This window comes from Homo sapiens, chromosome 12 (genome assembly GCF_000001405.40).
Source record: "Homo sapiens chromosome 12, GRCh38.p14 Primary Assembly".
In the NCBI taxonomy this organism is placed as follows: Eukaryota; Metazoa; Chordata; class Mammalia; order Primates; family Hominidae; genus Homo; species Homo sapiens.
In genome coordinates this window covers 52151480-52164174 of record NC_000012.12, presented here as the reverse complement: position 1 = coordinate 52164174, position 12695 = coordinate 52151480, and the positions used below count along the sequence as shown (strand labels likewise).

Below are 12695 nucleotides of genomic sequence, written 5' to 3'. Positions count from 1 at the left end.
GCTCAGGCAGCATTCCATTCCGGAAAGGTCAGCTCCTGCCCTGCCAGCCTGCACCACAGCAACCTCTGCCCTCTGCTGGCCGTGACAAGACAGTGCTTCTTCGGAGCCTGAGTAAGCCCTGCTGGCTCTCCCCTAGGGAGGGGAGGAGAGAAGACAGCTGGGGCAGGAGCTCAACCCAGAACTCAGATCCCCACACACTCAGGCTCAAATTTCAGACTTAAACTCAGAATCCCCCAGGGCTGAGCCATCTCTCCTGCCCTGGCCTCCCTTCCCCAGCAGGCACAGGCTCAGTGCCTTCCACAGAGAGGGCTGCCACAGCCCACAGGCCTCAGGGACCTTGATCCCATGTGAAATCCTCACCCCAACCCCTAGATCTGGCTCTTCCTCATCTTTCAAGTCTCAGCTCAAATGTCTCCTCCTCACAGAGACCTTCCCTGTTGCCCATCTCAGATAGCCCCCTCCTTCCTCCACAATACTCTTCTTTTTTTTTTTTTTTTTTTTTTTTTTTTTTTTTTTTTTTGAGACAGAGTCTTGCTCTTTTGCCCAGGCTGGAGTGCAGTGGCACGATCTCGGCTCACTGCAAGCTCTGCCCCCCGGGTTCACGCCATTCTCCTGCCTCAGCCTCCTGAGTAGCTGGGACTACAGGCGCCCGCCACTATGCCCGGCTAATTTTTTCTATTTTTTAGTAGAGACAGGGTTTCACCATGTTAGCCAGGATGGTCTCGATCTCCTGACCTCGTGATCCGTCCGCCTCGGCCTCCCAAAGTGCTGGGATTACAGGCATAAGCCACCGCGCCCGGCCTACTCTTCATTTTTACTTATTATTATTGTGCTGTGCTCTTCACACAGCACAATCTGCTTTCTCTTTAGTTGATGCTTTCTTCTCTAGTGAATCAACTGGGGTCCAGTCAGGAAAAGAGAAGCCAAGCTAGCTATTTCAAACACAGGGGATTCAATGTGAGGAAATGATAGAGTGGCTATTGAAAGCTTCAAGGACAAAGCAGGAAAGCTGCAGTGTTGTGGAAGTTAGTCAGCGGCAGACAATACCTCCCCTAGAGCTAAAAGAAGTGGCCTTACCCAAACTCAGGAGCACAGGCGAGGGCCCCAGGGGGGCTGGTTCTTGGGCCTAGAGGCAGAGATTGGAGGGAGTACAACATTTTCCTTCTATTAGGAACAGCTGGGACTTAAAGAACTGGATAACTGTCCTGACAAGGCGGCCAAAGTCAGTGTGGGCTTTCAGAAGGTAGCCTGCATGTGTGCTCCAGGTGGGTAATGTGTAACACCCACAGGTCCCCTGCCAGAACCCCTCTATTCACAAACAATAAACACCCTTCCGTTATTTGCTAGCTTTCTTGTAGTTTTAATTTTCTTTCTTTTTTGGAGATAGGGTCTGGCTCTGTCACCAAGGCTGGAATGCATTTGTGCGATCTTGGCTCACTGCAACCTCCACCTCGCGGGTTCAGGCGATTCTCCTGTATCAGCCTCCTGAGTAGCTGGAATTACAGGCACATGCCACCAGGCCTAGCTAACTTTTGTATTTTTAGTACAGATGGGGTTTCACCATGTTGGCCAGGCTGATCTCGAACTCCTGACCTCAAGTGATCCGCCCGCCTCGGCCTCCCAGAGTGCTGTAATTACAGGCATGAGCCACCGCACCTGGCATTTAATTTTCTTCAAGGGGAGAAACCTACCCCTCCATGTCTCAACTCAGGTATGTAAGTTTGGTAGATGTCCCCCAAACACTCAACTTCTGTCCTAACAAGAGCAAAAAAGAACCAGAATACCCCCCACCCCCGCTGTGGTTTGACTGTGTCCCACAACAATCCCCAGTGCAACAGTGTTGAGAGGTGGGACCTTTAAGAGGTGATTCGGTCATTAGGGCTCTGCGCTCATGCATGGATTGATGTGATGTGGGAGTGGGTTTGTTAGAAAAGCAGGTCTGGGCCAGGCGCGGTGGCTCACGCCTGTAATCCCAGCACTTTGGGAGGCTGAGGTGGGTGGATCGTGAGGTCAAGAAATCGAGACCATCCTCACCAACAAGGTAAAACCCCGTCTTTACTAAAAATACAAAAATCAACTGGGCGTGGTGGTGTGCACCTGTAGTCCCAGCTACTCAGGGGGCTGAGGCAGGAGAATCACTTGAAACCGGGAGGCAGAGGTTGCAGTGAGCTGAGATTATGCCACTGCACTCCAGCCTGGTGACAGAGTAAGACTCTGTCTCACACACACACACACACACACACACACAAAGAAAAGCAAAGCAGTTCTGGCCCTCTCTTGCTGTCTCACACACTCTCGCCATGTGATGCCTTCCCCAGACACAGGCCGTTGATCTCGGACTCCCCAGCCTCCAGGACTGTGAGACAAATAAATTTCTAATTGCTGATAAATTACCCAGTCTGTAGTATTATGTTATAACACCACAAAACAAACTAAGACAGGAAACTGGTACCAGGAAGTGGGTCTCTTGCCGTAATCAATACCTGGAAATGTGGAAGTGGCTTTGGATCCAGGTAACAAATAGAGGCTGGAAGAATTTGGGGGAGCAGGCAAAGAAAAACCCAGATTGCTATAAAAGGAGCATCAAGGGCAATTTCAGTGAGGGTTCAGAAGAAGACAACAGCTGTAGAGGGAACCTAAATCTTCTTAGGGATTGCTTATGTGGTCATGATCAAAATGTTGGTAGAAATCCAGACAGAAAAGGCCAGTCTGATGAGGTCTTGGGGGAAAAGCAGATTATCTTACTGGAAAATAGAGTAAAGGCCATCCTATTGGAAAATAAAGGCTTTCCTTGCTCTACAGTTGTAAAGAACCTGGCAAAATTATGTCCATGCCCGAGGACTATATGGAAGGCAGAACTTTAGAGTAATGACCTAGGAAATCCGGCAGGAGCAACAAACAGCAAAGCAGCAGAGTGCCGACGGTGCCGCATGGCTTCTTTTGTCCACTTACAATAAAGTGAGAGAAGAGAGAATGACTCAAAGATGGAATTTATAATTTCAAAGAAAGCAGAACAGAAAGATTTGGAAAACTCTCAGCCTGGCCATTTAAAGAATAAAAAAGCAGCCGTGCGCGGTGGCTTATGCCTGTAATCCCAACACTTTGGGAGGCTGAGGCAGGCAGATCACGAGGTCAGGAGATCGAGACCATCCTGGCTAACACCATGAAACCCCATCCCTACTAAAAAAAAATACAAAAAATTAGCTGGACGTGGTGGCACACACCTGTAATCCCAGCTACTCAAGAGGCTGATGCAGGAGAATCGCTTGAACCTGGGAGGCGGAGGTTGCAGTGAGCGGAGATTACGCCATTGCACTCCAGCCTGGGCGACAATGTGAGCCTCTGTCTCAAAAGAAAAAAAAGAATAAAAAAAGCATGTTTGGGTGAGAGCACTAAGCATATAGCCAAGTGACCATTTGCTAAAGTGATTAATATGGATAAAAGGAAGCCAGGTTCTATTCATCAAGACAATGGGGGAATGAACCTGAAGGCATTTAGGAGATCTTCAAGGCAAACCAGGAGCTTGAGGGCAAGGTTTCCAGAGAGCTGCCCAAGGGAAATCAGCATTCACTGCCCCATCCACCTCAAGACTCTGCTCCCCGATTTCCAGTGCAGTGCCCCTTGGCTGTCCCAGCCATGGCTCAAGCAGGTCCAGGTGCAGTTTGACCCACCACTCCAGAAGGTACAAGCTGTAAACCTTGGTGGCATCCCTGTGATGCTAATTCTGCAGGTGGGCAGAATATAAAAACTGTGGGGCCTTGGCAGCCTCCACCTGGATTTCAAATGATGTCATCGACAGCCTGAGGGCCCAGACAGAGACTTTTCACAGGGGCAGAGCCACCAGAGAGAGTTCCTGCCAGGAATGCCTAGTGGAGCCATGGGAGCGAGGCCACCTCAGAGACCCCAGAACTGTAGACTACCAATGTGCCACTCCAGCCCGGGAGAGCTGCTGCATGGGCTGAGTTCAGCAAAGCTGTGGGAACTGGCTTTCCCAACCCTTTGGGGGCCCAAATCCCTCAGTGTAGGAAGCACATGGAGTGAAAGATTATCCTGGAGTCTTAAGTTGTAATGTTGGCTGGGCACGGTGGCTCATGCCTGTAGTCCCAGCACTTTAGGAAGCCAAGGTGGGCAGATCACCTGAGGTCAGGAGTTCAAGACCAGCCTGGCCAATATGGCAATACCCTGTCCCTACTAAAAATACAAAAATTAGCTGGGCGTGGTGGTGCACACCTGTAATCCCAGCTATTTGGGAGGCTGAGCTAGGAGAATCGCTTGAACCCAGAAGGCGGAGGTTGCAGTGAGCTAAGATTGTACCACTGCATTTCAGCCTAGGGAACAGAGCTAGACTCCGTCTCAAAAAAAAAAAAAGATGAATGTTGTCTGCCATGTTGGGTTTTGGAATTGCTTGGGGCCTATTACCCCTTTCTTCTTGCCTATTTCTCCTTTTGGGATGTGAACGTCTGTCCTATGCCTGTCACACCATTGTATTTTGGAAGTAGATCACTTGTTTTTATGTCACAGGCTCACAGATGGAGGGGAATGTGCTCCAGGGTGAATGATAACTTCAGTCTCTCTATGTATGATTTAGATTTAGACTCTAGACTTTGGACTTTTGAGTTGATGCTGAAACAAGTTAAGACTTTCAGGGCCATTGGGATGGAATGAACGTATTTTGCATAGGAGAAGGACATGAATTTTAGAGGCCAGGGGTAGAATGCTATGGTTTGAGTGTGTCCCACAAATTCATGTATTAGAGCTTAATTCCCAATGCAGCATGTTGAGAGGCAGGATGTTTAAGAGGTGATTAGGTCATGGGGGCTCTACTGTCATGAATGAATTTATGTTACTGCAGGAATGGGTTTGTTATAAAAATGAGTTTGGGCCGGGCACGATGGCTCACACCTGTAATCCCAGCACTTTTGGAGGCCGAGGTGGGTGGATCATGAGGTCAGGAGATCGAGACCATCCTGCTAACACAGTGAAACCCCATCTCTACTAAAAATACAAAAAAATTAGCCGGGCGTGGTGGTGGGCGCCTGTAGTCCCAGCTACTTGGGAGGCTGAGGCAGGAGAATGGCGTGAACCTGGGAGGTGGAGCTTGCAGTGAGCCGAGATTGCACCACTGCACTCCAGCCTGGGCGACAAAGCGAGACTCCGTCTCAAAAAAAAAATGAGTTTGGCCTTCTCTTGTTCTCTGTCATGCACTGTATCCCATGTGATGCCTTCTGCCATGTCATGATGCAGCAAGAAGCCATCAGGCCATCACAAAATGCAGCCCCATGATCTTGGACTTCCCAGCCTCCAGAACCATGTGCCAAATAAACTTCTATTGTTTATAAAGTACCCAGTCTATAGTCTTCAGTTATAGCAGCACAAAAGGGACTAACATCCCCAGGCCCCTAGCCCCCAAAAGGTTATGCCAGCATCAACTCAACTGCAGCCTTTAAATCGTGCCCCCCCAACCCCCGACCCATCATTAGCCCCCGTCAGGAAGAGGGGTGTGCCACTGCAAGGCCAGCACTCAACATTCACTTGACAAACATGCATTGACAAATATTTATTGATACTTACGATGTGCCAGGCACATTCTAGGCCCTGGGGATACAGCTGTGAACAAATCTGCCCAAATCCCAGCCCACATGGAGTTTATGTTCTCATGGGAAGAAAAAAACAAGGAAGAAATATATTCATGTAAAAGACATAGCTGACTAGACGTTGATAAAAAGTGCTATGGAGAAAACTAAAGCAGAAAGAGCATAGGGAATGTTGAGAGTAGGGTGATTAATAGGGAGGTCAGGAAAAGCCTCACTAAGAAAGGAACATTTTGGCCAGGCGCAGTGTCTCACGCCTGTAATCCCAGCACTTTGGCCGGCCAAGGCGGGTGGAACACCTGAGGTCAGGAGTTCGAGACCAGCCTGGCCAACATGGTGAAACCCCGTCTCTACTAAAAGTACAAAAAAATTAGCTGAGTGTGGTGGCAGGTGCCTGTAGTCCCAGCTACTGGGGAGGCTGAGGCAGGAGAATCACTTGAACCCAGGAGATAGAGGTTACAATGAGCTGAGATTGAACCACTGCACTCCACCCTGGGTGACAGAGTGAGACTCCATCTCAAAAAAAAAAAAAACAAGAGATGAAGAAACAAGCCACGCAGAAGCCTGGGGAAGACCATTCCAGGAAGAGAGAATAGCAAGGCCAGAGGCCCAGAGGCAGAACAGCAAGGGCAAAGGCCCGGAGGCAGAACCTGCCTATCATGTTTGAGGACTTGCGAGGAGGGATGAGGGGAGAGGCGGGGGGTTCAGCCTACACTAGGCCTCAGGGGCCACTGTTGAACCTCAGCTTTGACTGAATGAGATGGAGGGTTTGGATCTGACCTCTGCAGTAAGAGGCAGGGGACCACAGCAGTACCATAATATCTGGACTTTTCTCAGCCTGCATTTGATAAGCAATAAAAGAGGAAAGGGCCTTCCCTGCCAGTCTCTGCCTTTTGTCCCATAATTTCCACTTCAAATAATCAAATGGGGGGAATAGTGATCATTTTGTATCCCAAGTATCCTAAGATACTCCCCCCGTTAGAATGTTAGCTCCCTAGCAGTGGCAGGAGCCACTGAGTGTGACTTGATCATTACCATATCCCCAGCGCCTTGCAGTGGACCTGGCACTTAGTAGATGCTTGGAGAAATGTGCAGACATACCAATGACGGAGGCTCTGGCAACCTCTCATAACCTCCAGGGTGACGTTGCGTGTCCAGGCCTGAGCTGGACACCTGGAAGACATTGCCCCATTCAGGAGAGCTCAGGTCACCCAGAGGCAACGCTGAAGTCAGACCTTGAGCGTGCCTGACTCTAGAGCCCTTGCCTTCCTTCCCCTCCTCACTGTCACCAAGAGCCAACACCCCCTGCCTCCAGAGGGACATGCAGGCCAGTGTGGTCACTCTCACCTCCCTCCGGCTCATTGGGCCCGGAATGTTCTCAGAGGGTGAGGGATTGTCCCTGTGTCTGTCCTTCTGAGGGTCTGTGAGTCTGTTGGAGAGGGCCTGTCCCTCTGGGGAGGATGTGTATATCTGGCCCTCTGGGAGTCTGCCCCTCATGTTGCAAAGTTCATGTTCCTCCACCCTTTCCCCGCAGGTGGGTCTGTGCCCGTGGTTCAGCCCTACCCTCCCCACTCCCATTCCCACCTGCTTGTTCCATGGCTCCCCACCATCTGCAGGCTCTGAGCGCCCCCTGCTGACCACTGCCTCATCTGCACCTCCACGCCCAATGGGGAACCAGATACCTATGGCCTGGGGTCTGGGACAGTGCAAAGAGCTGTTCCTGGGGCGAGGTGAGAGGATCGCTTGAGCTCAGGGGTTCGAGACAAGCCTGGGCAATATAGTGAGACCCCATCTCTATCTAAAAATAAAAATAAAAAATAAGAAAGAGGTAAGTACAGGGGGCAGGATTAGCCTCCTTGAGGCCTCTACCCCTGACTGGGGGCTGAAAAACACCTAGGCCCGCCTCCACACCTGGCCTTAATCTCTTTCATCCCATCCGCCACCTTCCTATTCAACACTCATCCCTGCCAATCCTACCTCTCCCCAAGCGCCCCTCCTTCGAAGTCCCTGTACCACCAGCAAGGCCATCACACATCCTGCTGTGACACTGACTCAGTGGGACTGACATGCAAATAGATTCCACACATGTGGTGAGTCAGGAGCCTGAGAAGGGGACACAGGCTGAGTGAACTGGAGTGAGGTCAGCCTTTGGAGATGACCACATATACCTGGGGACATGGCTATCTGCAGATATGAACACACATATGCACAGCCTATGCACACACCTACTCACAAATGCAGGCACACTGTGCACAAGCATATGTTCTTATGCATATGTTCACATGTGCACACATACAACACATACATGTGTACCCAACATACGTGCATTGTGCAAACATAAGTGCAAATGGACATCTGTGTGCACACCTCCATCCCTGGGCGGAGACATCCACGCCTACATGCAGGTGTCCTCAACAGGCGCAGGCAGACTGAGGCCCACCATCAAAGCACACATCCGCACATGTGCATACACATAGCCCTTGATCAGTGCTCACATGCACACACGTCCACAGGTGCCAGGAGTATAACTGGACTGAAGTCAGACAGACCTCAATTTGAACCCTGACCTGGCTTTATCACTCAGTTGCTCTGTGACCCTGAGCATCTGCAACTTTCAGAGCCTCAGTTTCCCCACCTGTAAAACTGGGTAATAAGGATGCCTGCCTATAGGGTTGGGAAGATTAAAGGAGACAATACATGGAGCAGACCTGCAACACAGACCTGCAACACAGCTAATGCCAGCAAGCATTAGCTGGCAGAACCCCAGCCTCAGACCTGTATATAACTGTGACTATAAAGTAATGAGAAGGGTCCCCTCTGGGGCGTGAGTCCCCCAGCACAGGCACACACATACACATGCACACACACACACACACACACACACACACACAGAGGCTGCTCTGTGTTTCTGCTGTTTACAAAGCTGCCTAGCTACGACCTGAGATCAGGAGCATGTGGGCTCACTTGGGAGCCCCACCCTTCCTCCCCAGCCTGTCAGAACAGGGCCTAGCGGGGAATCCTGCATTCCTCCTCCTCTTGGCTACAGCCTTTAGGGGTACAAAATGGAGGCCTTGGAGTCCTACTTCCCCCAGGCCCCCCCATAGGCTTTGCCCTTTTGCAGTGGATTGTGGCTGCTTTAAGGAGCTCCCTGAGATTGGGGGAGACTAGGGTCCCCCTGGAGGCTCTCCAGCCTGCCTGACAGTCCTCTCCTCAGCTCCATCCCCCTACAAGCCCGTGGCTGCTAAGACCATGTTTCTGGTGGAGGGAGGCCCACGGTGTCCCACCACATACTCTCCCCATGACCTCCTGGAAAAAGGAAGATGGCCAGTGTCCTCCTCTCCCGAGGATGCTAAGTCCCCTTGCAAAACCCTGCCCTGACAGGCCACTGCTGCCCCAACCCCCATGGCCACCCCAGTGCCTAAGCACTGAGGGAGAGGAGTTCCCTGTCGTGTACTCAGAGTGGAGAATAACTTGAGCTGATAAGCTAACTCTGAAGACCTTCCAGGGGATCAGGGATAGCCACATGGCCCCACGTAGTTTCAAGGTCAACCCTCGAAAGTGTAGCTTTCTGGCTGGGTGCAGTGGCTCATGCCTGTAATCCTAGCACCTTGGGAGGCCGAGGCAGGTGGATCACCTGAGGTCAGGAGTTCGAGACCAGCCTGGCCAACATGGTGAAACTCCATCTCTACTAAAAATACAAAAAATTAGCCAGGTGTGTTGGCCCACACCTGTAATCCCAGTTACTTGGGAGGCTGAAGCAGGAGAATCATTTGAACCCAGGAAGTGGGGGCTGCAGTGAGCCAAGATCACACCGCTGCACTCCAGCCTGGGTGACAAAGTGAGATTCCATCTCCAATAAAAAAAAAAAAAAAATTGTAGCTTTCAGCTGGGAGCAGCTCATGCCTGTGTGTGATCCCAGCACTTTGGGAGGCCAAGGCAGGTGGATGGCTTTGAGCACAGGAGTTCAAGACCAGCCTGCGCAACATAGTGAAACGCCATCTATACAAAAAATACAAAAATTAGCCGGACATGGTGGCATGTGCCTGTAGTCCCAGCTACTCAGGAGGCTGAGGTAGGAGGATGGCTTGAGCCTGGGAGGCAGAGGTTGCAGTGAGTGGAGATCGTGCCACTGCACTCCATCCTGGGTGACAGAGTGAGACCCTATCAAAAAAGAAAAGAAGGTGTAGTTTTCAGACACCAAACACTCGACCTATCAAGCCTCAAAAGGCTAATATGGGTCCCTTCCCCTTACCTGACCTTACCCCAAGCAGAAGAGAAACACAAACTTGTGCCTGTTCTGGTACTGCCTGGCCTGGCCTCTCCTACCTGATGTCTCTGAGGGGAAGTTGGGGCACGTTGGAGCCTGGAGGAACAGCAGAAATTGCTGCCATACTTAGCAGACAATGATCCCCTTCCTTTAGTCCTCTGAAAACTAAACCAGCCAAAAAGTAGCTGGTACAGCCCAGGTAGGCCCATCCCCTCCCATTTCCCTCCAAAATAGGTCAGGGCCACCTCACACCTCAGGTTTGGGGATATAGTGGGTAGCACAGGCATCCTCCAGGGGGTAACATACTAAAACCATGAATGTCACCTACCCCTCATTTTACAGATGGAGAAACTGAGGTCCAGAGAGAGGAAGGGCCTTGCTCTAAGCCGCACAGCCTGTCAACCAACAGAGCAGGACTTTAAACCAGGAGCTGGACCTCCTGACCCCTCCCCACAGTTTTTGGAGACGGTCAGGACTCAGGTGACCCTCGAACTCTGAGCGTTGCCCTATGTCCTAGCACTGCCCCGCTGGTGGAGAAGAAAGGGAAAGAGGGGATATACCAGTGGAAACAGCTGATGCCCTCTGTCAAGGAGCAGGCTGAGGGGGACCTTCCCCCAGGGCTGAGCCTTAGGGTTAGTGGGATTTACATTGCCCAGACAAGGTCTCTTCTGGAACTTCGAAGCCCAGACCATGGCCAGGAGAGTGTCACTGGTATGGCCACAGCCAGACCTGGGCTTGGGAAGGGGACCCTGAACATATTCTGAGACACACACCCTCTCTTTGCCGTTTCAAACCAACCCAAAAAATGTGGAGATAGGGAAAGGGGAAGAGAGCACTATGCTGGGAGTCAAGGGCCCTGGTTCTCGTCCTGCTTCTGCCGCTAACTTGCTGGAGGAACTTGAGCCTCAGTTTACCCATCTGTCAGACAGAAATGAAGTTTGCACTCCCCTCCCCCCACCACCCTCCTATGCTGCCAGAGCCTGCCCTTCATGGCCTCAGTCTCTCCCTCCAAATGCCAGGAATGTGCCTCCCACTCCCCTCTCTGTCCTGGCCCTGCGGGTCAAGGGCAGGGTCAGCAGAGGCTGAGGGGTGAGCCACTCTCCAGCCCCTTCCAGGCTGCCCATGGCCCCGGCTTCCCCTCAGAGACACCAGGCAGGGGAGGCCAGGCCAGGCAGTACCAGAACAGGCCAAAGTTTGTGTTTCCTTCTCAGTCTCCCACCTTCCACCCACTCACCTAGCCTGGGAGCCATGGGCAGCCATGGGATGAAGCTGGGGCCCCAAGAGGCCCGTTCCTGAGGAGCCTTGCCCTGGGGGGCTGCCAGTCTGATAAGGGAGGTGCCTGACGTCATAAGCCTTACCTACTGATCAACACCACAGTGCTTCGAAGTAGGATCATCACTCTCTTTTTTGTTTTGTTTTATTGGGATTTTGCGTTTTTTCGGAGACGGGGTCTCAGTATGCACAAGCTGGAGTGAAACTCCTGGGCTCAAAGGATCCTCGTGTCTGAGCCCCCCAAGTAACTGGGACTGCAGGTATCACTCTCTCAACAGATGAGGAAACTGAGGCCCAGCCAGGACTCCAGCACAGGCCAGGACAGGCAGGACGCCAATGAAGCTGGGACTAGGGGTCTGGCCCCCCAGTCACCCACCTACAGGGCAGGTGTGTCTCACGCTGCCCTGGGTTCCTGCCCGCGGAGGGTCCCTGAACCCCAAACCCAGGCACTTGGGGCCTGTCTCCCGCGGCGGTTCCCTCCCGGACCACACGCCCGCGCCGCGCCCACCCTCAGGCGCCCGGCGTGGGGTGGGCAGGGTGGGGCGCCAGGTCCCTGGGCGGGGCTCAGAAGCCTCTGTTCCCGCAGCGCCGACACCTGGTGTCCGCCCGCCCGCAGGCCAACGTGTCCGGGCAGGAAGGCCGCTCGGGGCCGCCCGGACGGGACAGGACGGAACGGGACGGGACCGGACAGGACACTGGAGGCGCCGCCACAACTGAGCCCCGCCGCCTTTGGGACGCCCCGCCTGGGGTAGGGGAGGGGAGTCTCCCAAAGCCGGTCGGGCACCGCCCCCTGCCGGCTGCCACGGGCTGCTGCAGGCCCCGAGCAGGCCACGGGTGAAGGCGGCGCGGCGTCCACCCAGCCGCCAACCCTAGGGAGCCACTCACGTCCCGCCACCCCCATCAGTCACTCATCAAACACTTCCTGCCAGTGCCCAAGGTGCGGCGGGGAGTCTTGGAACTAGACACAGCCAGAGCCTTGCAGAGGCCTCGCCCTCCACCCTCTCTGACCTGCCAAGGCTCTGAGCCACCCCACGCGACAGACCACACCAGCCACGCCCTCTGCACAGCTGGCAGCCAGGCTGGAGAAGCGGCCTCCAGTTTCTGGGCTCCCCTTGCCCAGGAGGTGGGCAGAGCTGGAGCCTCCTTCTCTTTCTGACTCAGCATCTCCAGCACCCCTCCAAGCCCATGTGTCCTGCTACCCCTGACGCCCACTCCTCCTGCCCACAACTCAGCCAGAGTCCCCCACCTGCAACCCATCCAGTCCTTGCCTTACCTAGGCTAAGACCCCTCAAAATAACAGCATAGTACTTACTATGGGCAACACTGTTCTTCCTGCTTTATCACATTTCATCAACCTGCCCACAACATACCCTGCACAGCCCCTGCCACCCACACATGTACACGTATATGCACACGCACACACACACACACCCCTTGGTGCCTGTCGGTAACTCCATGTTCCTGGGAATGGGCTTCTGCAGATCTTTCTGGGCCTCCTTGCCAGCGGCAGCTGTGCTTCAGAACCTTGGGCACGGTCTGTTGCTCCCTGGGCCAGAGCCTCCCCT

At 52.9% G+C, this 12695-nt stretch overlaps 1 annotated feature.

Annotated features, from left to right (window-relative positions):
- Window positions 11841–11960: a silencer, noted in NCBI's record as "silent region_4483". NCBI's record gives its function as "represses an Ori minimal core promoter by ATAC-STARR-seq in GM12878 lymphoblastoid cells {active_cell/tissue: GM12878}" and the evidence as "EXISTENCE:reporter gene assay evidence [ECO:0000049][PMID:35858748]".